Raw genomic sequence first — 23,438 nt, 5'->3', positions numbered from 1 at the left:
TCTCTATCCCTATCTCCTTCCTGTCTCTGTCTCCAGGCCAGACCCTTTCCACCTGTACCTACTGCTGACTTAACATTCCCCCCGACCAGAAAGCTCTAACCCCCAAATTGAACCTGTCCCAGATAGAATGCCAGACCACCTTTCCACGAGGTGAGACCATCATGGCTGCCAGCTTCACCCCAAGCCGACCTCCCCAGAACTCATCCAGTCTGCGGCTGTAAACACCATCCACCTGCTGATGATGCTCACGTGTCCCCACTTTGGACATGGCCCAGGCCCCGTCTCTACGCCCTTGGCTCATGTATTCAACTACAGGCCTGTTTTTGCAAACGAGTGCCTCCCCAAGGATTCCTACTTGTCCATTCAGCAAGGCTGTAGTAAGTGGCTCTGTTCTAGGCACTGGCAGTAAAGCCTAAGATCCCTGTCCTTCTGAGCCAACACTGACTGTCCCCTAACTTGGTTGATGGCACTGATACAAGAGGTAGAAAAAAATTATTTAGGCAGAGAGTAAGGGCAACAGAGTCCTCGGCAGAGTTTCCTTTCTAACGGAAAGCAGCCCCCAAAATAATTTCTTTTCTAACAAAGAGCAGCCTGGAAAATCGAGCTACAAGCTTGCATGGGGGAATGTGCCGATAGAAAAGGTATACCTGGGGCTACGCATGTCCAACATGGAGGCTCCATCTTCCCTTTATTTAGTTATTTATTTATTTATTGTTTCCACGTTGTACAGAAAAGGAATGGGCAACATGGCCAGCTCAGGCAGAGGACCCGCTTGTACAATAAAAGCTTAGGGTGGAGGCAGCCAGAAATTTGTGCCCTATGCAAATGGCACAACTGGTCCAACCAGTCTTTTGCACCCTAGGTAAATCAGATACCACCTCCCCACCAGCTCATCTGTAAAGCCCCCTGCATTTCACCATGGAACCCCCTGCATTTCAACCCATTTTTCTGGGACCCTTCTCTGCAGTAGAGAGCTCCTTCTTTCGCCTATTAAATGTCCCCTCTTAACCTCACTCTTTGTGTGTCTGCGTCCTTGTTCTCTGTGGCTGTGAGACCACAAACCTTGGGTGATACTCCAGACAATGAGGCTGTTTCAGCACTTCCATCCTTCCAGTTGCTTGGGGCAAAAAATCATGGCATCATCCTCAACCCCTCCCCTTCTCTCACCCCACAGCCAATCTGTCAGCAAATCCTGTTGGCTCTACCCTCAGGACCCCACCAGAATCTACTACTCTTCCCAACTCCACAGTCCCCTCCTGGTCCTGTCCACTGTCATCTCCCATTTGTAACATCATGGCAGTCTCTTCTCTGGTCTCCCTGCTCTGGCTCTGTCCCCTGACCGTAGTCTGTTCCCAGAGACAGCCTAAGAATTCTGTGATCCTGCGTCAGGTCACTTCCCTGCCCTGCTCAAAATCTCCTGTGAGCCCATCTCACTCAGGATAAAAACTAGAACCTGGCCAGGAGCAGTGGCTCACACTTCACTTTAATCTCAGCACTTTGGGAGGCTGAGGCAGGAGGATCACTTGAGCCCCAGGAGTTTGAGACCAGCCTGTGTAATATAATGAGACCTCGTCTCTACAAAAAACAAACAAACAAACAAAACTAGACCTCTCCCATGGCCCACAAGGCCTCACACGAGCTGTTCCCATCCCCTCTCTTTCCTCACCAACCACTACTCCAGCCTGCTCACCCTGTTCCACACTGTGGCTTCTTTCTGCTACTGCAACAAGCCAAGCTCATGTTAACCTCAGGACCTTTGCACATGCTGTTCCTGCTGCCAAAAATAGTTTTCCCACTCCTTAATTGTAAAACTATGTACTTCACTAAAGGCAGTTTGTTCACAATTTCTGAGCACTGGGAGGGCAGGGAACAGGTCGCTACAGCTCATCTATTTTCTGCACACACAACCAGAACAACGCGGGTACTCAGTAATTGTTTGTTGAAAGTTATTCTCAGTTGGTCATTATCCATCTTTTTCTCACTCTCTCTGTTTTTGTTTTTGTTTTGTTTTGTTTTTGTTTTTCTGAGACGGAGTTTCACTCTTGTCAGCCAGGCTGGAGTGCAATGGCACGATATTGGCTCACTCCCAACCTCCACTTCCCAGGTTCAAGCAATTCTCCTGCCTCAGCCTCCTGAGTAGCTGGGATTACAGGCAGCTGCCACCACGCCTGGCTAATTTTTGTATTTTTAGTAGAGACAGGGTTTCACCATGTTGGCCAGGCTGGTCTCAAACTCCTGACCTCAGGTGATCCAACCGCCTGGGCCTCCCAAAGTGCTAGGATTACAGGCATGAGCCACCACGCCCGGCCGTGTCTCTGTTTCTCTGTCTCTATCTTTCTCTATTTCTCTGTTTCCATGCCTCTTTATCTCTGCCTTTCCCTGTCTGTCTACAGATTTCTGCTCTCTCTCTCTCTCCATGTAGATATATCCCTTTGTCTTTTTTGCTGTTTCTCTCAGTCTCAGTTTCTCTCCCAGTCTCTATCTTTCTCTCAGTCTCATCCTCAAACTCCCAAGGTCTCAAGCACCACCCCTCAGTACCCTCCTGCACCCCATCTCACTCTGTCACCCAGGCTGGAGTACAGTGGCATGATCACCAGCTCACTGCAGCCTTGACCTCCTGGACTCAAGCGATTCTCCCACCTCAGCCTCCTGAGTAGCTGGGATTACACCCACCTTCTTCTTGAGCACGCCGAGCCGCAGGGCCTTGGGGTCTGGAGCAGCATAGGTGAGCCACAGTCCTGAGGCCACATGCTGCACGAAGCACAGTGACTCCCCGTACTTGATCTCAGGGGGGCCCATGCCCTCCACATCCCGCTTGGGGGCCACATCCAGCTTCTCCTACAGGGGCAGGGGACACAGGTCAGCCTCCTCTGCCTGTGTGTTTAGCAGGGGAGCCCCCCTGAGGGACTGCAGAGTGCAGGCTGGGCTGGGACTGGGGGCTTCAGGTGAGGGAGGGCGCCACAAACCCCACTGACCTTGGAGATGCGGAAGCAGAAGGAGGTAGCCTTGGTGTGAGCCTTGCTGGCGTCAACCACCACCAGGCCCTGGTCCTCGGTGAGCGCTAGGTACTGCCCGGTAGTGACATGCCGGACTCGGAGTGGCTGGCCCCAGCGCAGGTGGCTCCCACTCCAGCTGTGGAGGGTGAGAGCCAAGGGGAGTCAGAGGACCCCCCAGTTCTCCCATGGACATTACAGTCTTTTCTTCTTTTTCTTTTTTTTACAGAAACCAGGTCTTGCTATGTTGCCCAAGCTGATCTTGAACTCCAGGGCTCAAGCAATCCTCCCACCTCGGCCTCCCAAAGTGCTGGGATTACAGGCATGAGCCACTGCACCCGGCCTGGACACTATAGTCTTGGTCCAAACCTCCTCAAGCCCCGAACCCTCTTCCAGTGTTCCTCAAACCATCTTAATTAGGACCCCTAGTCCTCCCTTAGGAACCCCAATCCTCTCTCAGGCCTTCACAGCTTCCTCAGGGCTTCCCAAATGTCTCCAGTGCCCTCGTTTTTCCAGACCCCTAAATTCCCCCATCATTTTACTCAGGGCCCCCAATCTCTCCCTCAAAAACCCCCCAAACCTCCTTTTCCCACAGGACTCCAGAGAGACTTCATTTTTTATTTTTGTTTTGCTTGTTTTTTTTTTTTTTTTTAAGGCAGGGCCTCACTCTGTTGCCCAGGCTGGAGTGCAGTGGCACAATCTCACCTCACTGCAACCTCTGCCTCCCAGGCTCAAGTGATTCTCCTGCCTCAGCCTCCCGAGAAGCTGGGATTACAGGTGCGTGCCACTACCGCCTGGCTAATTTTGTATTTTTAGTGGAGACGGGGTTTCACCATGTTGGCCAGGCTGGTCTTGAACTCCTGACCTCAAATGATCCACCTGCCTCGGCTTCCCAAAGTGCTGGGATTACAGGTGTGAGCCACCGCCCCCGGCCTTTGTTTTTGTATTTTTTTGAGATGGAGTCTCGCTCTGTCGCCCAGGCTGGAATGCAATGGTGCAATCTCAGCTCACTGCAACCGCCACCTCCTGGGTTCAAGGGATTCTCCTGCCTGAGCCTCCCCAGTAGCAAGGATTACAGGTGCCCACCACCACACCAGGCAAATTTTTGTATCTTTAGTAGAGACAGGGTTTCACCACGTTAGCCAGCCTGGTCTGGAACTCCTGACCTCAAGTGATCCACCTGCCTCGGCCTCCCAAAGTGCTGGCATTACAGGCGTGAGCCACCACGCTTGGCCTCTTTTTGTTTTTGTTTTGTTTGTTTGTTTGTTTGAGACAGGATCTTGCTCTGTCACCCAGACTGGAGTACTGTGGCAGGATCTCAGCTCACTGCAGCCTTGACCCGCTGGGCTCGAGTGATCCTCCCACCTCAGCCCCACAAAGTAGCTGAGACTAAAGGTGCACACCACCACACCCGGCTAATTCTTTATTTTATTTATTTTATTTTATTTTTTTTGCAGAGACGGGGGTCTCATGATGTTGCCTAGGCTGGTTTTGAACTTCTGGCCTCCAGTGATCCTCTTGCCTCAGCCTCCCAAAGTGCTGGGATTACAGGCATGAAGTCACCACGCCTGGCCGAGATTTTCATCTCTCTCTCAGGCTGCTCTGATTTTCCCTCGAGACCCTTCAGTCTCTTTATCAGATCTTCCCTCAAGACCTTTTCTGTCCTCCCAGCCTGCCAGGTGACCCCAGCCTCTCCCTGGTCTCTCCCCATCTTCCCCGCCCTACCTGATTCTCAGTGGCTCCAGCCTCCAGAGGGAGCGGGCATGAGTGCACACAGCTCCCCCCTCATAGTAGACAAGTCTGGGGACACAGAAGAGAGTGAAGTCAAGGGTTCAGCTCCCCGGAATCTGGTCCCTAATCCTACTCATAGGGTCCCAGCCCTCCACGTCCACCCCTAGACCCCAGGCCCTCTCGTCCACAGCCCAGACCTGCGCTGGTCATCACTGTCAGCAGGGGAAATGGTCAGACACTCATCCATATGTCCATGAAAGAGGCGGAGGACGTGACCTCCCGTCACGAAGCCTGGAGAGGAGCAAGGGAAGTTGGTCAATGGGAGGCTGGAGCCCCAGGAAGACCAGGAGCCAAGATGAAGTCAGGGGCCCTGCTCCTCCCCTGGGGGAACCTGAGGGCTGAGTTTGGGGTTTTGCAGTTGGAGGTCTGAGTTTCAGGGTATTTTCAGGCCAAGGTTGAGGCCTGAAGTGGGGATATGAGACTTGGGGTCTGAAGCTGGGCACCTAATTTGGGGGGTCTGGGTCTGCAGAGCTGAGGCTGGGGGAGTTGTGAGTCTGTCATTTAAGGTTCTGAGTTTGGACTTTTGAGGTTGGGGTCAGAGTGTGTGTGTGGTGAAAGGTGGAGGTCTAATGTTCACTGGTGTTGGAGTCTGAGTTCTAGGGTTGAGGTTTGGCCTCTGGGTTTAGAAGGGTGATGGTTGGGTCTGAGGCTGGGTTCTGGAGTTAGGGCCTGAATTTTGAGGGTTTTTTTGTTTCGTTTTGTTTAGTTTTGTTTTTAAGACAGAGTTTTGCTCTGTTGCCCAGGCTGCAGTGCAGTGGTGCAATCTTGGCTCACTGCAACCTCTGCCTCCCAGATTCAAGCAATACTGCCTCAGCCTCCCAAGTAGCTGGGGCTACAGCCGCCCGCCATCATGCCCAGCCAATTTTTGTATTTTTAGTAGAGATGGGGTTTTGCCATGTTGGCCCAGGCTGGTCTCGAACTCCTGATCTCAAGTGATCCACCCGCCTTGGCCCCTCAAAGTGCTGGGATTACAGGCGTGAGCCACCGCGCTTGGCCTTGAGTATTGATTTTGGAGGCCAGAAGCTGGAAAGTGAGGTTGGGGATCTGAGGTTACAATCTAGGGTTTGGAAGTCTGAGCTTTGGGGTATGACGTAGGAACGATCTGAGCTTTGTAGTTAGAAGTTGATGAGTCTGAGTTTCAGGGTCTGAGTTTGAGGGTCAAAAACCATCTGTGGTTTGAGTCCCAGCGTGGGTCTGGTTTAGGACTCTGAAGTTTGGGGTATGAGACTTGGGGTCAAAGTATTGGGCCATGCCTGGAGTCTTAGCATGGGAATCTGAATTGGGAGTTTGCTTTGGTGGATTTTGGTTTTTGGGATTTGAAATTGAAGTTTGGAAGTCTGAGGTTGGAGGGCTGAAGATTGGAGTCTTGGTTTGGGGATCTGAGGTTTGAATTTGGGGGTCTGGGTTTGAGGGGCTGAGATCATAGTCTATGCTTATTGTCTAAGGAGTTTAATTTTTTTTTTTTTTTTTTTTTTTTTTTGAGGCAGAGTCTGGCTCTGTCACCCAGGCTCCTCTGCCACCCAGGTTCAAGCAATTCTCCTGCCTCACCCTCCTGAGTAGGTGGGATTACAGGCACATGCCACCACACTCAGATAATTTTGCATTTTTAATAAAGATGGGGTTTCGCCATGTTGGCCAGGCTGGTCTCAAACTCCTGAACTCAGGTGATCCACCTGCCTCGGCCTCCCAAAGTGCTGAGATTACAGGCGTGAGCCACCATGCCCGGCCTTTAAACAAGCTTTAAACTTGATGTTTTAAGATTTGAATCTGAGTTTAGGAGCCTTGGGGGCTAATACTTTGGGGTCTAAGTTTGGGAGCCTGATATTTAGTTCGGGGTTTGGGGGGGTTCTGAGCTCTGGGGGTCTGGATTTGGGGTCAGCTGGAGATCTAAGTGTGAGAGCCATAATTTGGAGATCTAGGTTTGAGGTCTGAGGTTCCAAGGCTCCATTTGGGTATGCCTGAAGGGCAACATTAAGGGTCTGTTTTGGGGGGATCTCCATTTAGGGGGAGGTCTGGGGCCCTCACCCTCTTCGCAGCGGGAGCAGATGGGGTTCATGTTCCATAGTGTCTGCATGAAGGAAGCGTCAACCTGGAGCTCCCCACTGGCGGTCGACAGGTGCTGGGGGCCACCAGGATGCGGCAGTCAGAGACGATTGCAGGGGTGGGCGAGAGTCCCAGCGTCAGAGGCCAGAAATCAAGGGTGGATACCCGGAAACCGGCAGATGGGAGACAGAGTCATCAGAGATCACAGATCAGGAAATGATCAAGTCGGGCAATGGGAGGTCAGAAATCAGAAAATTGGATGTCAGGGGTCAGGAAATGGGAAATTGGGAGTCAGGACCTTGGGGGTGGGAGATCAGCCAGGCAAACCCATGGTGAGAAGATGGGGACCATCCCATGCGCCCCCAGACCTGGGAGCAGGAGGAACCGCAATGGCTCACCAGGTAGCGCTCGGAGGAGACACTGACAAGGATGATGTCATCCCCAACGCGGACCTTTTCTCCTTCAGACCTCTGCTTGGAGGCTGGGTGCATGGTCCACCAGCAAGCCTCTCCTATGGGTGGGGATGGAATGGGGGTGGCTGTCAGATGATGGCTTCCCAGAATGCTCTTCCCCAGGGCTCTCCCTCCACCAGGCCTCCCGGGCCCTTGGCCCACAACTCTCCTATCACTGCCACCAACTCTCTGCCTAACAGTTCCCCGTTCCTGACTTCAGACTCTCTGCCTAGTGGTCCCCAACGTGTGTCTGTCTCCCTGTCTGGACTGTACCGCAGACTCTCTGCTACGAAGCCCCCATTCATGTCCCCAGGGTAGTCTCATGCTTGCCTTGGCGTTCTGCAGACCTTCTACCCCCTGAATCCCTGCTGCGGGGCCCCTTCACACCCCCATCCCCTCCAGCTGCTGCACCTGTTGCGTCCTCCTGCAGTCCCACATCGAAGGCCAGCTTGTCAGTCATGGAGCGGGAGGTGGTGAGGCAGCTCAGATACTAGGGTTGTAGAGGGAGGTCAGCCTCCTTCTAGCAGGCCCCACATGCCCTGGCCCCTGCCCACGCCCACCGAGGTTGCACTCACCATGCGGCTGTGTGCATGCCGGAGCAGGATGGCATGGCCATACAGGAGCGTCCTGTGTCCCCCGCCCTGGGATGACTGCAGGGGGAGGGAGGGAACAGAATAAGCACAGATCCCCGGACTCTCCAGATCCCCAAGAGGTCTGGCCTAGTCACAGGTGACAAGATGCTCCCTGTAAAATACCATGCTCAGGCCTAGAGGTAAAACAGCCTCAGCTCAGACTCCTGCAGGACTCTCTGCCTCAGTTTCCCCATTCACGGAAGCAGGGACTATATCTCTGAGATGCCTATGGATGGAGCATTTTATATTCCCCAAAGCCCACTCTGTCCTCTCTGCTGCCTTCACCTTGGCTGGAAATCACTCAGGAGAATGAACCCGTCTTCTAGTTTCCTGGGGACCCTGAGGACACCCCCAAGATCTCGTGTTCCGTGTACTCTGGCCCCTCTGCTCTGACCTCCCCCATCATGCTGCGCTGCAGCCCGTGTGCTCTGGGACAGGCCTAGCAGTTGTTCCATAGGTGAATGTCACCCGCAGTCTAAGACAGCCGCCCCTCCCCAGCACAAGGTCCCCAACCCGGACCTTGGGGCAGACATCTGACTGCTCGATGTCACCATGCCTCCCATCATGGCTGTCACATGCCCATGCTCCAAGGGCGCCATGGGGGTACCATGTGATGGGGCCAGGTGATCACATGGTGGACCCACTCCTGGACCAGAGGGACTCACGCTTGGGATGGGGGAGGTGGGAGAGGTCCCATGCGGAGAGGAGCTGGGATCAGGGTTGGGGGAAAGGACTGGAAAGAGGAGAAAGGAGCAGGCGTCGGGGACAGGGGCTCAGAAGCCCCCATCCCCTTCCTTCCTTCCTGCCTGGCCTGTTCTGGGCTCCACAGCCCCTGACAACTGGGGTGGGGGAGGACCCTCCAGCCCCTGTGTGCAGGGCGTGGGCCTGAGAGACGGGCCTGCCTGGGGTCAGGAGGGGTGGAAGGACAGGTGACATCCAAGGCCGGACCTACCCACTTATCCAAATTGAGGGCCTGTGGGGGGCAGGGCAGAGAGAGGAAGAAGAGCAGATGGTAAGCGACCCCCGGGTCCTCTCACCCATCCTTGCCACCGTGCCCTAAACGACCCCTGGGTCCTCTCGCCCATCTCTGCCACCCCGCCCACCCCCAGGTGGGGTCCTCACCTCCACGCCAGCCTCCACCGTGTTAGCCAGCATCTCCTGCAGGGCTCGCACAGACAGGGACTGCTCCAGGACGAAGCAACAGATGGCCAGATCGGGGGGCACATTCTGGGGTGGGAGGGGGATGTAAGTGAGGGGTCAGAAGACCCCCCCACCCCAGCAACATTCCCTGCCACACTCCCTCCCCTAGTCTGGATGCCCACACTCTTGAGACGCCAGACCCCACCCCCACCCCACAGGAAGGCCCTGCCCTCTGCCATCCCCCTCAGACACACTGAATCTAGACCAACATCACGAAAACACCTCTTCTGTGCCTCCTCCCTCAAACACCTCAGACCCACCCAGACTCCATAGAAACTTCCCTAACCCTAACCCTCCCCACTAACCCGTGTTCCACCTAATCTCATAGGAAGCCTCACCCCCATGCCTCTCCCCTGAGACACACTGACCCTGCTCCAAGGACAGGAATCTCCTGTTCTGTGTCCTCCTCTGCAGATGACCCCACATCCCTCCAACCCCAAAGGAAGCCCCACCTCCTGCCTCCACCATCACACAGTCCTCGCTCCTGCCTTTTCCTTCAAACACCTCTGACCTCTGCTTCACAGACACAGGAGGGCGCTCAACCTTATACTCCCTCCTCAGTCTCCCACCGTCCAACTCCTAAACTCAAGACTCTGCTCCTCAGACCCCACTCGCTCAGACTCTGAAACTTCCCCCCCATCAGATTCCACATCCCCTGGTCTGCCAGCCCCTGCCCCTCCTCCAGGTCTCCTCCTTTCAGACCCCAGGCTCCTTCCACCTCTCAGCCCCCAGTCTCCCAAGTCAGGCCCCTGCGGGTGTCCCCTGACCCTCCAGGCCCCTTTGCCTTGGATCCAAGGCCCTCGGCCCCTCGATCCCCTGCCCTCTCAGACTCCAGCTGCCCCCACCCTCAGAATTCCCGAGCTCGGACTTGGGGATCACCTTCCCTCAGACTCCACTACCTAAGACCCTCAAGCCCCCACCCCCATCAGATGCCCTCCGCATCTCAGGCCCTGTCCCATCCTCCCCCGCCCCCGCCGAGGGCCTCCTTCCCCCTAAAACACCCCATAATAATTCAGTCTTGTTACCTGAAAAACTTTTAAAAATAAAAAATAAAACCCCTCCTCCTTGTGCTCCAGGTCCTTTGCCTCGTCCCTCCCTACCCCCCCTCCCCACGCCCCAGCCGTCCCTCAGTTTCCCTGCTCCTCCCTCCTGAGACCCGTTCCCCAACCAGCCCTTCTTCTGGACTCTCAGGCTACCTCCCCTTAAACCCGAGGCTTTCTGCCCACTCAGCCACCTGCCAAGGAACGTTCTGGATCAGCAGCCCCCGCCCTGGCCTACCACACTTCTGTGCACACAGGGATTCCCTCCAACACCCCAGACCCCCTGCCCCTCCCTTCTCAGACCTCCACCCCTCCCCACCTCAGGTAGCCCCTCTTAGCCTTAGCCCCCCTCCTCACTTTCTCTCCTGTCAGCACCTCCTTTCAGACTCCCAGAACCCTCTTCTTTGGACCCAAGATTCTCTGCCCCTTCAGACGCCCCTGTCCCCAGGCCCCTCTCCCTCCTGCACAGACCTGCGCGTTGCTAGTGGGCTCCAGGAAGCACAGGCGGTTGCCGAAGCCCTCGGCGGCCAGGCAGAGCTTGAGCTGCTCCTTGAGCACGGTAGCGCTGCACTGCAGGACCACCTCATCGTCCTGCGGAACCGAGGGGCAGCGTCTCCAGGGGGGCCTGGCCCGGATACCACAAATACTGCAGACCACAGGCCCCTCCTCCCACCCTGGTCCTTATGAAAAAGACAGTGACTGACAAGATCAACCCACCCAAGCCCTCTACCTGCTCCTGACAACTCCTTGAGATACAAGCCAGCATCATCCCATTTATTTTATTTTTTATTATTTATTTATTTGAAATAGTCTCTGTTGCCCAGGCTGGAGCACAGTGGTGCAATCTCAGCCCACTGCAGCCTCCACCTCCTGGGTTCAAGCGATTCTCCTGCCTCAGCCTCCCAAATAGCTGAAATTACAAGCGTGCACCACCACACCTGGCTAATTTTTATATTTTTAGTAGAGACAAGGTTTCGCCATGTTGGCCAGGCTGCTCTCGAACTCCTGACCTCAAGTAATCATCCCATTTATTTTTATTTTTAGAGACAGGGTCTTGCTGTGTCACCCAGGCTGGAGTGAAGTGGTGTAAATTATAGCTCACTGCAACCTTGACCTCCTGGACTCAAGCAATCCTGTTGCCTCAGCCTCCTGAGTAGCTGGGACTACAGGCATGAACTGTTGTGCCTGGCTTATCCCCATTTTAAAATGGGGAAACTGAAGCTCAAAGTGGGACACAGATGGACCAAGGCCACACAGTTGGTAACAGGAGGAGCTGGGATTTGAACCTCAGTCCAACTGGCTCCAGAGGCCTCCCAAGTGGGGTCTGCAAAGTGATCCACTGGAAGGTGGAAACTTGCTCAAGTTAAATTGCTTTTTAAGCTCATCTTTCTCTAAATTCTCTCTTTTGCGTGTTGTTTTAATAATAGACTGCTATTTTATCTTTATTTATAGACTGCTTTCTAATGGCACCTGAATGCAATGTGACAGCCCGGGCTGGATCCTGGAAGTACCATAAAGGACAGTATTGAGTCCGGGCGCAGTAGTTCCCACCTATAATCCCAGCACTCTGGGAGGCCGAGGAGGTGGATCACTTGAGGTCAGGAGTTCGAGACCAGCCTGGCCAACATGGTGAAACCCCATCTCTACTAAAAAATACAAAAATTAGCGGGGTGTGGTGGTGCACGCCTGTAGTTCCAGCTACTCGGGAGTCTGAGCCAGGAGAATCGCCTGAACCCAGGAGGCAGAGGTTGCAGGGAGCTGAGATCGAGCCATTGCACTCCAGCCTGGGTGACAGAGTGAGACTCCATCTCAAAAACAAACAAACAAAACCAAAAATAGCCGGGTGCGGTGGCTCACGCCTGTAATCCCAGCACTTTGGGAGGCCGAGGCAGGTGGATCACCTGAGGTCAGAAGTTCGAGACCAGCCTGAACAACATGGAGAAACCCTGTCTCTACTAAAAATACAAAATTACCCGGGCATGGTGGCGTATGCCTGTTATCCCAGCTACTTGGGAGGCTGAGGCAGGAGAATGGCTTGAGCCTGGGAGGTGGAGGTTGCTACCACCAGATTGCACTCCAGTCTGGGGCAACAAGAGTGAAACTCCAGCCTGGGGAAAACTCCATCTCAAAAAACAAACAAAAAAAAAAATAGTAATGGTATAGGCTGTTTTTATTAGGCACTTTACTGGCTCCCAGGCCTTATGCTCTGGGCCTTACACTCATTTAACAGACTTTGGTTGAGCATCTGCCATGGGCCAGGTGCTGTTCTAGGCACTAAATATAGAGCAGTGAATAAAGTCAATGAAGATCAAGATCCCTGCCTTGGCTGGACGCGGTGGTTCACACCTGCAAATCTCAACAGTTTGGGAGGCTGAGGCAGAAGGATTACTTGAGCCCAGGAGTTTAAGACCAGCCTGGGGCCAGGCACGGCGGCTCACGCCTGTAATCCCAGCACTTTCGGAGGACAAGGTGGGAGGGTCACAAGGTCAGAGGATCGAGACCATCCTGGCTAACATGGTGAAACCCCGTCTCTACTAAAAATACAAAAAATTAGCCGGGTGTGGTGGCGGGCGCCTGTAGTCCCAGCTACTCGGGAGGCTGAGGCAGGAGAATGGTGTGAACCTGGGAGGCGGAGCTTGTAGTGAGCCGAGATCGCACCACTGAACTCGAGCCTGGGTGACAGAGCGAGACTCCATCTCAAAAAAAAAAAAAAAAAAAAGACTAGCCTGGGCAATATACATAATGAGACCCCCATCTCTACAAAAGTTAAAAATTAAAAATTAGCCGAGCATGGTGGTATGTTCCTGTAGTCCCTGCTACTCGGGAGGCTGAGGTGGGAGGACTGCCAAGCCTGGGAAATCGAGGCTGCAGTGAGTCATAATCAAGCCCCACCTCCCTGGGGCCCCTGAGACAGATTGAGACCATGTCTCAAAAGGAAAAAAAAAAAATCACGGCCCTCAGGGAGCTTAAATCCTCATGGTGGAGACAGGGAATAAACAGGTGAATTAATATGTAATGTTAATGTCAGTGATAGGTGTTATAGAAAAAATAACCCAGGCTGATGTAAGAGAGTGGCTTTTAGGATGGGGATGAGATCAGTGAGGGAGTGAAGTGACAGCCTCTCCAAGGAGGTGACATTTGAGTTGAGCCTTGTCCAAATAACAAGAAGGAATCAGGCCTGCTCATCTCTGGGGTAAGAGGAGGGAGTCTGGGTGCTGGGGTGTTGAGGGACAGCACAGGAGATGGAGCAGGATGGTGGCCGCAAGGAGGAGGGGCAAACAGGGAGGAGATGAGGTCAGAGAGATACTTGCATGGGCCCCTTGAAAAATAACTTTTTTTTTTTTTTTAAGAGACTGGGTCTCACTCTGTCTCCTGGGGTGGAGTGCAGTGGTACGATCATAGCTCACTGCAGCCTTGGACTCCTAGGCTGAGTGATCCTCTCCATTCAGCCTCCTGAGAAGCTATGACTGCAGGCTCATGCCACCACACCCAGCTAATTTAAGATATATATATTTTTGTAGACACAGGGTCTTGCTCTGTTGCCCAGACTGGAGTGCAGTGGCGAGATCACAGCTCACTGCAGCTTCCGACTCCTGGTTTCAAGTGATCTTCCCACCTCAGCCTCCCAAGTAGCTGGTACTACAGGTGCACACTGCCACGCCCAGCTAAAGTTTAACATTTTTTGTAAAGACAAGGTCTCCCTATGTTGCCCAGGCTGTTTTTGAACTCCCGGCCTCAAGCAATCGTCCTGCTTCAGCCTCCCAAAGCGAAGGGATTACAGGTGTGAGCCATGGGGTCTGGCTATTGTATATAATCTTGTCCCCATTTTCCAGATGAGAACACTGAGGCTCAGAGAGAAAAATAAAAATCACTTGCCCCAAATTAGGAAGCAGGCAAATGGCAAAGCCAGAGTGCAAAGCAGCGACAGAGAGCCCAATCATTACCACATTGATTCTCAAACTTTTCCTGAATTAGAATGAAGGCAGGCTGGGCGAGGTGGCTCATTCCTGTAATCCCAGCACTTTGGGAGGCCAAGGTGGGCGCATCACTTGAGGTCAGGAGTTCGAGACCAGCCTGGCCAACATGGTGAAACCCCATCTCTATTAAAAGTACAAAAATTAGCCGGGCGTAGTGGTGCATGCCTGTAATCCCAGCTACTCGGGAGGCTGAGACAGGAGAATCGCTTGAACCCAGGAGGCGGAGGTTGCAGTGAGCCGAGATTGTGCCATTGCACTCCAGCCTGGGCTACAAAGGAAGACTCCATCTTAAAAAAAAAAGAAAAAGAAAAAAAAAATGAAGGAAGCGGAGGGTTCTGGTTAAAAATATAGCTTCCCTGCTGGCCCAGTCCCCTACCACCATCAAGAGCCTGATTTGGGGTCAGCAGGGAATACGTACTGTTTACCAGACCCCAGGAGCTTCTAACTTGGGCCAGGGTTTGAGAAACCCCAGCCTGGGTAAGGGTAGAGGTCACCACCCACCAAAGGGAAGTGAAATCAGTTTGGGGGGGCTGTGGCCATCATACTTAACCAAACGAAGCAAAATGGAGCAAGAATAGAAAATCACAGCGTGCCCATCATGCTTCAGGGGCCATCTACATTTTATGAGACTTGTTTCAGTTAAAAATAGGTACAAGTGAATGGTCACAGGCCCTGTGTTGTCTATAATAGTAAAAATTGGAGACGACTCAAATGTCCATCAGCAGGTGAACTGATAAACACACCACAGTATAGTCGCACAATGGAATAATATTCGGCAACAAAAAGCAACAAACTCAATACATGCTACATGGATGAATGTCAAAAATATTATGCTGAGTGAAAGAAGAAAGGCCGGGCATGGTGGCTTATGCCTGTAATCCCAAAACTTTGGGAGGCCAAGGCCGGAGGATTTCTTGAGCCCAGGAGTTTGACACCAGCCTGGGCAATATAGTGAGACCTCACCTCTACAAAAAATTTTACAAATTAGCCAAGCATGGTGCTATGCACGTGTAGTCCCAGCTACTCAGGAGGCTGAGGTGGGAGGATCACTGGAGCCTGGGAAGTGGAGGTTGCGTTGAACCAACCACCAAACTGCTGTACTCCAGCCTGGGCAACAGATTGAGACTCTGTCTCAAAAAGAAAAAAAAAGGCCGGGCGTGGTGGCTCACACCTGTAATCCCAGCACCTTGGGAGGCCAAGATGGGTGGATCATCTGAGGTCAGGAGTTCAAGACCAGCCTGGCCAACATGGTGAAACCCCATCTCTACTAAAAATACAAAAAATTAGCTCGGCTTGGTGGCACGCGCCTGTAATCCCAGCTACTCAGGAGGCTGAGGCAGAAGAATCGCTTGAACCCAGGAGGCAGAGGTTGCAGTGAGCTGCGATCACGCCATTGCACTCCAGTCTGGGCAACAAGAGTGAAACTCCATCTCAAAAAAATAAATAAATAAACAAAAACAAAACAACTCATTGAACACATAAACTGGGTAAAATTTATTGCAGGTCAATTATACCTCAATAAAGTTGGTTTTTAGTCATGTCTATGCATGTGTGCATGTACTGAGTTGTAAGACAGAATGTTTCTTATGGGCGGGATGTGGTCCAGAAGGTTTTTTGTTCTGAGATGGAGTCTCGCCCTGTCGCCCAGGCTGGAGTGTGCAGTGGCGCAATCTCGGCTCACTGCAACCTCTGCCTCCCAGGTTCAAGCAATCCTCCCACTTCAGCCTCCCGAGTAGCTAAGATTACAGGCATGCACCACCACGCCTGGCTAATATTTTTTTGTATTTTTAGTAGAGACGGGGTTTCACCATGTTGGCCAGGCTGGTCTCAAACTCCTGACCTCAAGTGATCCGCTCACCTTGGCCTCCCAAAGTGCTGAGATTACAGGCATGAGCCACTGAGCCCAGCCTCCAGAAAGTTTTGAGAAATCCACCACGACCTCAGTAACAATCAGAAAAACTGACCCAGTCTGGGGTGGAGAGATTCCAGGGCCAAGCCTCCAGAACCCTAACGCTGACTACTTTGGCAAGTCTGGGCCCAGATTTTCTCTGGTGAAGGCAATGGGGCTGGGCACCAGGGGCATCCAGAGATGCCACTTCCTGGCCTTGACCTTGGGTGAGTGATTCTACCATTCGGGCCTTGGTTTCCCTCAAATCTGTCAGGGAGATAAAGATAGGACCCTACCTCAGAAGACAGGGCAGCAAGGATATAATTAGATGTCTCAGGAGGCAGAGGCCCAGGGCACAGGGCCTGGTTTAGAGCGACAGCTCAAGAGCCAGTGGCCATGGCCATGGTCTTATTAGGGCTGGGGAGGGCCCGACCCATGGTGTCTGCTGAGGGGCTGGGGCTGGGGAGAGAGTCTCGGCTGAAGCTAGGCCCCTTCCCAGCTGTCCCCATCCTTCACTACCAGCCCCAGCTGTTTGTTCCTCTCTCCCAGGAAACCGGACCCGGCTCGCCAGGGTCCTATTCTGGGGCAGGAATGCTGTGTCAGCATTTCCTGTGTGGCTCCAGGGCCCCGGGGGGAGGGGCGGGGCTAGCGTCTGGTCAGCAGACCTAGCCCAGAGGAGAGGACGTCCCCTCCCATATTTACGACCCCACACCCTGCGGAGCCACTGGGAGGGGAAGATGGGAAGGACAAGGAGATGGCAGCCCCTCCTCCCTCTCATCCCCTCCCCATCCCCTGCCCAGGCCCCAGAAAAGCCGGCTATTCTGGGAGGGACACCTGTTGTTCCAATTCCCATCCCTGCCCCCAGCTGGGGCTCAGATGCAGGGAGTAACCCAGCTAGAGAGACAGCGAAAATCAGAGGGCCTTAAGCTAAGAAACAGAGACAGGGAGACTGAGATGGAGGAAGAGACAGAGACATGGAGACACCCAAAGAGACAGATGGGGAGAGACACCACCCAGAGACCCTGCAAGACCATTAGCAGCCATTGGGAGCAGCCCTCCTGCCCAAAACGAAGAAGGAAAGAAAGACCCAGAACCCAAGAGATCCCTCCCCCACAAGACCCTCAAGGGCTAGGAGTTGGAAGCAGCTGTGTCCTCCAGCTCACTCCAGCTCCCTTCTCAAGAATTTAAATAGGTCAGAGTCTGGAGCAAAAAGAGAATTAGGGCTAAGGTGGGGGTGGGGGGATGGCTAAATCAAGCCCAGGAATTAGAACCACCTTCCCCAAGTGCCTGCTTCCAAGATGGTGTGAGGGTGTGCTCCCTCGGGGGTCCTTCTTGTGGGGGACAAATCGCTAAAGTCAGAAGAGAGGGCAACCGAAGATCCCTTTCCCATTCTGGAGTCCCCAATCCTACTAATTCTCTGTAGTGAGAAAGGTGAAGGAGACTAAAAGACAGAGTGACAGTCACTCAAAGTGACATAGGAAGAGACCTCGAGTCTCAGAGACCACCAGCAAGCCGGACAGGGACATTCAGAGACAGAGAGACCCTCAGAGAGCCCCAAGAGATAGCCCCACAGGCCCCTAACCCAGAGATACGCACCGTCCGCAGGAACTGGACCTCGTCTTCGCCTTCTGCGTCACCCATGATGTCGAGGTCGGAAGCCCAGGGTCTGAGGTCGGGGAACAGAGGGAGGGGGCTGCGGGCTGGGCGGGAGGGCTGGGGGCGGGCTGGGGTCGGAGACCTCTGGAGACACCAGAGGCACCCGCGAGGTAGATGGAACTGCGAGGAGTACACGCATGCTGGACAGAGATGGGAGGAAGTCCCCGCCCCCGGGCCCCATTGGACCAGGACTCCCCGGCCACTCCCCTTCGCCGGAGCCCTGCCCACATACCCCAAATCTTGGCTGGAGGTTTGCTTGGCCGTTGGCCGCCGGAGGTGGGGTGGGAGAGAGAGTATCTAGGAGGTACCTGCGCTTTCTCCCCACCACGGTAAGTAACGTGCCATCATTCTCCCATTTCACAGAGGGCAGACTGAGGCTCTGAGTGGGGAAGTTCTTGCAAGATATCACGCAGCAGAGCAGGGATGTGCACCAGATCTCCTGACTTTAAAAAGCACCAAACATAGTGATTAAGAACAAGGACTCCGGCCGGGAGTGGTGGCTCACCCCTGTAATCTCAGCACTTTGGGACGCCGAGGTGGGTGGATCACTTGAGGTCAGGAGTTCGAGGCCAGCCTGGCCAACATGGTGAAACCCCCGTCTCTACTAAAAGTACAAAAATTAGCCAGGCGTGGTGACACATGCTTGTAATCCCAGCCACTTGGGAAACTGAGGCAGGAGAATTGCTTGAACTCCTTGAATTCGGGAGGCAGAAGCTGCAGTGAGCCGAGATTGAGCCACTGCACTCCAGCCTGGGCGAGACTTCGTCTGAAAAAAAAAAAAAAAAGAACAAGGACTCCGACTCCAAGCCAGATAATCTGGATCTGAATCCCACCCAGCCTTGCCACTTCCTTGAGTTACATGGATAAGCCACTTAGCTTCTCTGTGCCTCGGTTTCCCCATCCAGTAAGGGGAATATTAATAGTACCGACCTCACGTGGTTGTTGGGAGAGTTAAATGAGATAATTAATTAAATGAGATAAAACTTAAAACAGTGCCAGTGCCTGGTTAATGTAATGTAAGTGTTGCTATTATTATTATTTATTTATTTATTTATTTATTTTGAGACGGACTCTTGCTCTTGTTGCCCAGACTGGAGTGCAGTGGCAAGATCTTGACTCACTGCAACCTCCACCTCCCAGGTTCAAACGATTCTCCTCCTCAGCCTCCTGAGTAGCTGGGATTACAGGCACCTGCCAACACACCCGGCTAATTTTTGTATTTTTGGTAGAGACGGGGTTTCACCATGTTGGCCAGGCTGGTCTCGAACTCCTGACCTCATGATTCGCCCACCTCAGCCTCCCAAAGTGCTGGGATTACAGGTGTAAACCACCACGTCCAGCCCTATTAAAATTATTACTAGGCCAGACACAGTGGCTCATGCCTGTAATCCCAGCACGTTGGGAGGCCAAGGCAGACAGATCACTTGAAGCCAGGAATTTGAGACCAGCTTGGTCAACATGGTGAAACTCTGACTCTACTAAAAACACAGAAATTAGCTGGGCATGGTGTCACACGACTCTAATCCCAGCTACTTGGGAGGCTGAGGAACAAGAATCATTTAAGCCCAGGAGGCAGAGGTTGTAGTGAGCCGAGATTGTACCACTACACTCCAGCCCAGGTGACAGAGCAAGGCTCCACCTCAAAAAAAAAAAAAAAAATTTTTTTTATTAACATGTAGTGGTATACAGTAAGTTATATAAAACAATATCCCATAGTTAAACAAAATTACATAGAAACCGTTCTTCAAGGTATAGCAGGTTTCTAGGTGTTCCATAATTAAATACTGATGTTAACACAACTGCAATAAATAGCACAAAAGTTTGTGTCATATTATGGAATTATATAATTTGGCATTATATAATGTATAATTATATAATTATATATTTAGGCTAATATAATTATACAGTACAATACAATTCTATGTTGTATCTGTTATACATTATCCAACGCATAGTTGTATATTAAATATTGTTTTTCCCTAAAACTTTATGTAAATGTAAAATGATTCTGTGTCATTGAGCATTATATCATAAGATATTAATAGTGTTTCTTATTTTTGTCAGTCATCATTATGTGTTTTAAGACCTACCCTTGTTGCTCTGTGGACACCTGGTGTGTGACAGTGGTGGCTTTGCAGGATTCTCTGGTGACTGATCCCTTCTGTTTTTCCACCTACCCCTACTGGGAGCGGACACCCAGGCTGCCTCCAGCTCTCCCGAAATAATGCTGGAGGGAACATCTGTGTATTGGTCCCCCAGGAAGCTGAGGGAGAATGTTTTATTGTGCGTACCCAGAAGCTAATTGCTGGGTGACATATCCATGCGCACCATTTGTGTAAGTAGTGCTGGGTAGCCCTCGGAATGGCTACTCACTACCAGTGCATGAGGGTCCCCGGGTCCCCATATCCCCAACCCTCATGTGGCATTTCCAACTTAACTAATTTTTGCCAGATTTATATAGGGTGACTCACTGTTTTTTAATTTATTTTCTCTATTTTATTTTTAGAGATGAGATCTCACTTTGTTGCCCAGGCTGGGGTGCAGTGGCGCAATTATGGTTCACTGCTGCCCGGAACTCCTGGGCTCAAGGGATCCTCCCACCTCAACCTCCCGAGCAGCTGGGACAACAGGCTTGTGCCACCACGCCCAACTAACTTTTAAATTTTTTATAGAGGTGGGGTCTTACTATATTGCCCAGGCTGGTATTGAACTGCTGGTCTCAAGTGATCCTCCTACCTCAGCTTCCCAAAGTGTTAGGATTACAGGCAAGAGCCACCGCGCCTGGACTCGCTGTCATTTTAATTTCCACTTCCCTGATGAGTTACCAACAATTTCTAGCATCTTCTCAAGTGCCTATCAGAGTTTTGGGTTTCTTTGTTATCTGCTCATTGTGATCCCTGCTCACTTTTTTTTGTTTTTTTTTTTTGAGACAGAGTCTTGCTCTGTCGCCCAGGCTGGAGTTCAGTGGCACCATCTCGGCTCACTGCAACCTCCGCCTCCTGGGTTCAAGCAATTCTCCTGCCTCAGCACCCCCAGGACTACAGGCGCATACTGCCACACCTGGCTAATTTCTTTTGTATTTTAGTAGAGATCGGGTTTCACTGTGTTGCCCAGGCTGGTCTCGAACTCCTGAGCTCAGCCAATCCGCCTGCCTTGGCCTCCCAAAGTGCTAGGATTGCAGGCGTGAGCCACTGTGCCCAGCCTAATTTTTGTATTTTGAGTAGAGACGGGGTTTCGCCATGTTGGCCAGGGTGGTCTTGAACTCTTGACCTCAGGTAGTCTACCCACCTCGGTCTCCCAAAGTGCTGAGATTACAAGCATGTAATCTTACATTATAGGCGCAGGAGCCACTGAGCCCGGCCATTTTTCTATTATGGTTGCTGTCTTTTTCGCTTGCTGATTTGCAGCTGTTCCTTTTATATTCTTTTTTTTTTTTTTTTTTTTTAGATGGAGTCCCATTCTGTCTCCCAGGCTGGAGTGCAGTGGCTCAATCCCAGCTCACTGCAACCTCCACCTCCTGGGTTCAACTGATTCTCATGCCTCAGCCTCCCAAGTAGCCGGGATGACAGAGCAATACCCACTACCACACCCTGCTAATTTTTGTATTTTTAATAGAGACGGGGTTTTGCCACGTTGGCCAGGTTGGCCTCGAACTCCTGATCTCAAGTGATCTGCCCGCCTCAGCCTCTCAAAGTGCTGGGATTAGAGGCATGAGCTACTGCACCTGACCTATATTCTAGATATTAATATCTCATTGATTTTTAAATATTGCAAACACCTTTTCCCCTTCTGTCATCTGACATTTGTCCCATGGTGTCTTCGTTAAAAGAAAATCTGCCTGTAATCTCAGCACTTTGGGAGGTCTAGGTGAAAGGATCCCTTGAGCCCAGGAGTTTGAGACCAGCCTGGGCAACATAGCAAGACCCCATCTTTAAAATTTAAAAGAGAAAGAAAGAAGAACAGCAACAAAAGAAGAAAGTCTGTATTTGCATGTTATCATGTCCATCATTTTTCTGCCTTAGGAGTTTCTGTGGTTTGATTCAGAAGTCCCTTCCTTTGTAGTCATCAGCACGGGTATTGTGGGTATTCTTGGCCAGCCCGAGGACTAAGGCTGCCTGTGTACAGTAGAAACAAGTGCCAGGATTTCTGACCTCCTCCTTGAGGCTTTTCTGGGTCCCCAGGGCCTGGAGACACTGCCACACTACGAAGTCTCTGCTCAGCCAGGATTGTTAAGTCACATTCAAGATGCAGGTGCTACAGGAGATGGTCTGAGAGAGTCAGACAGAACACCATGAGGCCAGGGGGAGAGAGGGTGAAAACGGGCAGGAAGAGAGAGTCTGAAGCTATGGTAACATCGCGTGATGGAAAAACTAAAGACGGCGAGTTCAGTGACTGTCTAAATGTTCTGCATTGGAAAAAATATACATCCACGGTTCTTTCTTTTAGTGAAAAAAAAAGTGGAAAAATATACTTCTGAGAGAACGATTTCAATGAATTGCTAACATGCTATGTTTGGTAGAATCACAGTAACTACTATGACCCATTTATTCCACTCCTGGGTACTGCCCTACAATATGGTACACTCTATGTTCATCAAAAGTCAGATGCTCAAATAGTCACAGCAGCCCCAACCTGGAAACAACTCAGATGTCCATCACAGGAAAATTGATCAATAAATCACGGAGGCCGGGGACAGTGGTTCACGCCTGGAGAGTCAGCAATTTGGAGGCATAGGAAGGACGATTGCTTGAGCCTAGGAGTTCGAGATCAGCCTAGGCAACAAAGTAAGACCCTGTTTCTACAGGAAAATAATAAAAAAAAAATTAGCAGAGCACAGTGGTGTGCACTTGTAGTCCTAGCCACTCAGGAGGCTGAGGTGGGAAGATGGCTTAAGCCCAGGAGTCCGAGGCCGCAGTGAGCTAGGATCTCGCCACTGCACTCCAACCTTGGTGACAGAGGGAGACCCTGCTGTGGAGTCTTAATTAAGAAAAAAGAGTCAGGTTGGTAGGACCAAATAAAAATAAAAAAAAAAAACAGAGAAGCTATAAGTTTGTCTTTTTTTTACAGTCTAGGACATATAGTCCTCTTGTATAGATAACTCACTTAACTTAAAATGTTTTAGTGTCTAGTTATTACCAGACTCTAGACTGATGAAAAATAGAACTTAGTGCTGTGACTCACGCCTGTAACCCCAGCACTTTGGGAGGCTGAGGCGGGTGGATTATTTGAGACCAGGAGTTCAAGACCAGCCTGGCCAATATGGCAAAACCCCGTCTCTACAAAAATTAGCTGGGTGTGGTGGCACACACCTGTGATCCCAGATACTGGGGAGGCTGAGGCAGGAGAATCGCTTCAATCGCAGAGGTTGCAGTGAGCTGAGATCACGCCACTGCACTCCAGACTGGGCGACAGAGCAGGACTCTGTCTCAAAAATAAAAAAAAAAAATAGAAGTTAGCATGCCACCAGCCCGCTTAGTCACTATCCACAACACCTATCTCTAAATAAATAAATATATATATATAAGTCATGGAATTGTCACATAATGAAAGACTATATGGAATTATTATTATTATTATTATTATTATTATTTTGAGACAGAGTCTCGCTCTGTCGCCCAAGCTGAAGTGCAGTGGTGCAATCTCGGCTCGCTACAACCTCCTCCTCCCGGGTTCAAGCGATTCTCCTGCCTCAGCCTCCCAAGTAGCTGGGATTACAGGCACGCACCACCACACCTGGCTCATTTTTGTATTTGTAGTAGAGATGGG

General features: G+C 51.6%; 1 protein-coding gene across 6 annotated transcripts in view, besides 5 other annotated features; it reads right to left on the bottom strand.

The window, feature by feature from the left end:
- RYR1 (ryanodine receptor 1) overlaps nt 1–17,796 on the bottom strand; it is a 153,874-nt gene extending 136,078 nt beyond the window's left edge. For all 6 annotated transcript variants that reach the window (NM_000540.3, XM_011527205.3, XM_006723317.3 and 3 more), the window contains exons 1-11: nt 17,613–17,796; nt 10,623–10,742; nt 9,034–9,138; nt 7,855–7,929; nt 7,691–7,769; nt 7,226–7,338; nt 6,810–6,903; nt 4,922–5,015; nt 4,719–4,793; nt 2,976–3,132; nt 2,674–2,838 (exon numbers count right to left, since the gene is read on the bottom strand). In NM_000540.3, coding sequence (NP_000531.2) covers nt 2,674–2,838; nt 2,976–3,132; nt 4,719–4,793; nt 4,922–5,015; nt 6,810–6,903; nt 7,226–7,338; nt 7,691–7,769; nt 7,855–7,929; nt 9,034–9,138; nt 10,623–10,742; nt 17,613–17,657 — 1,122 coding nt within the window. In that variant the 5' untranslated portion in view covers nt 17,658–17,796. The remainder of the gene's footprint in view (nt 1–2,673; nt 2,839–2,975; nt 3,133–4,718; nt 4,794–4,921; nt 5,016–6,809; nt 6,904–7,225; nt 7,339–7,690; nt 7,770–7,854; nt 7,930–9,033; nt 9,139–10,622; nt 10,743–17,612) is intronic.
- Nucleotides 8,185–9,145: an enhancer, noted in NCBI's record as "H3K4me1 hESC enhancer chr19:38932982-38933942 (GRCh37/hg19 assembly coordinates)". NCBI's record gives its function as "activates a minimal SCP1, AML or CMV promoter by ChIP-STARR-seq in naive H9 embryonic stem cells {active_cell/tissue: H9 hESC(naive)}" and the evidence as "EXISTENCE:reporter gene assay evidence [ECO:0000049][PMID:30033119]".
- Nucleotides 9,589–9,764: a silencer, noted in NCBI's record as "fragment chr19:38932363-38932538 (GRCh37/hg19 assembly coordinates)". NCBI's record gives its function as "represses an EF-1alpha promoter that drives an FKBP-Casp9 reporter gene in an ReSE screen in phorbol 12-myristate 13-acetate-treated (for megakaryocytic differentiation) K562 erythroleukemia cells {active_cell/tissue: K562(+PMA)}" and the evidence as "EXISTENCE:reporter gene assay evidence [ECO:0000049][PMID:32094911]".
- Nucleotides 16,467–17,042: an enhancer, noted in NCBI's record as "H3K27ac-H3K4me1 hESC enhancer chr19:38925085-38925660 (GRCh37/hg19 assembly coordinates)". NCBI's record gives its function as "activates a minimal SCP1, AML or CMV promoter by ChIP-STARR-seq in primed H9 embryonic stem cells {active_cell/tissue: H9 hESC(primed)}" and the evidence as "EXISTENCE:reporter gene assay evidence [ECO:0000049][PMID:30033119]".
- Nucleotides 17,774–17,913: a silencer, noted in NCBI's record as "silent region_10575". NCBI's record gives its function as "represses an Ori minimal core promoter by ATAC-STARR-seq in GM12878 lymphoblastoid cells {active_cell/tissue: GM12878}" and the evidence as "EXISTENCE:reporter gene assay evidence [ECO:0000049][PMID:35858748]".
- Nucleotides 21,611–21,811: a silencer, noted in NCBI's record as "peak3471 fragment used in MPRA reporter construct". NCBI's record gives its function as "represses an SCP1 promoter by STARR-seq MPRAs in K562 erythroleukemia cells {active_cell/tissue: K562}" and the evidence as "EXISTENCE:reporter gene assay evidence [ECO:0000049][PMID:32103011]".

The sequence above is a fragment of the Homo sapiens genome, chromosome 19 (genome assembly GCF_000001405.40).
Source record: "Homo sapiens chromosome 19, GRCh38.p14 Primary Assembly".
NCBI classification, from domain to species: domain Eukaryota; kingdom Metazoa; phylum Chordata; class Mammalia; order Primates; family Hominidae; genus Homo; species Homo sapiens.
This window is presented reverse-complemented; position numbering and strand designations above follow the sequence as displayed.